Source organism: Homo sapiens, chromosome 1, assembly GCF_000001405.40.
Source record: "Homo sapiens chromosome 1, GRCh38.p14 Primary Assembly".
NCBI classification, from domain to species: domain Eukaryota; kingdom Metazoa; phylum Chordata; class Mammalia; order Primates; family Hominidae; genus Homo; species Homo sapiens.
The window spans coordinates 100,622,136-100,623,557 of NC_000001.11; the positions used below are offsets into that span (position 1 = coordinate 100,622,136).

The 1,422-nt window shown below is 42.7% G+C and overlaps 1 annotated feature.

The window, feature by feature from the left end:
* Nucleotides 446–744: a silencer, noted in NCBI's record as "fragment chr1:101088137-101088435 (GRCh37/hg19 assembly coordinates)". NCBI's record gives its function as "represses an EF-1alpha promoter that drives an FKBP-Casp9 reporter gene in an ReSE screen in phorbol 12-myristate 13-acetate-treated (for megakaryocytic differentiation) K562 erythroleukemia cells {active_cell/tissue: K562(+PMA)}" and the evidence as "EXISTENCE:reporter gene assay evidence [ECO:0000049][PMID:32094911]".

Here is a 1,422-nt window from a genome sequence, read left to right on the forward strand (position 1 = left end):
ACCATTTGGCTGATGTTTCACTGCTCCATCACTGTGGGAGGTTAACACTCACTGAGGGGTGGCAGTACCCTCTGCATTTCTCTGGGAAACTCCAATGATTCATCCAAAAGTGTGAGAAGCCAAGCAGCTTTTATCACCCAGGAGACAGCTGTAACCTGACCTCAATTCATGCCAAAGAAGCCTGAGGAAAGTGCCCTGGAAGTGAACAGCCTGCTCATGACTCAAGGAACTCAAAAGTCAGAGTTCTGACCAGTATTGTTGGGGTGGGTAAAAGAACTTCACTCCCTCAGATCTGAAAGTGTCCTTGCCAGAGGAGAGGGAGACCTTATTTCAAGTGTGTTTGAATAAACATGACATACATAAACTTGATTTTCCAGGTTTTGGAGAAAGCATACATTTGTCCTCTGCATCATGAAATAATGTCCTTGGTGGCTCCTTTCAGGGCCTGTGCTGCACTCTCCTTAGTGACTATTAGCATTGGAGTTGGACAATTTAAGGGCAGGAGTGGAGACCTGCTACTTATAAAGGATGACTACACTTATTTAGGGATACTGCTCACGCTGACTCTCAGAGCAATTCTTTTGTTCCAACAGCTGTTCCCAGGGTAGGGTAATATTGGAACAGAGGCTTATGCTGCAGTATCCATTGAGTGGGACTGAGGCCCCTTCAGTAGCTGAAAATCCCCACTTCAGTGCTACTGCTTCAGCTACTGCAGCTCTTACTGTCTTCAAAAACAATGGTAAGGATTCCTTTAACCTCAGAGGAGGAATTAGCTTTTTGCAGAGACTACAAAGAATCCATAGGATACAAACATTTCTATAGTCCAGGAAGGAGTCCCACATATAAAAACAAAACTGTAATATATTTTATAAGTGATTTGCCTAAATATGTGAGGCTGTATTCACTCAGTTTCTCAAGAAGCATTTCTTGAGAAGCTACTGTGTGCCAGAGCCTCCTTAGGGGGCAGGAACTGCTTATTTATCTTCATATCAACATCCCTAGGTAAGTGCCTAGCCCATCGTATGGGCTACAGACTATGCAATGCTATTTCCCTTAGCCCCACCAGAGTTCAGGGTCAGACTGATGGGCAGGACTATGAACAGATCTTCTTTCTCTCCTTGAAGGTAACTAACCTTCCATGGGACTTGAAGCTTCAGATTTTGGCCTTAACCAAGTCAACTAGCTCAAGTCAGAGGGGCAGTGATTATTTGAATTGCCAAGGTATTACCTAATGAGAATCTTTGTGACTAAGCTCTTAAAGTTGAAACTTAAGTAACATTAGCTGAAAAACTTGTTGGATAAACATTGCTACTCCCTTGAAAATTCCGGGAGTTCCAGTTTGGTTGCTGACCATTTTTTACCATTTATCTATTTGTTTAGCACTAACGTTTCTTAAGCTTCCAATGTATATAGAATGCTATG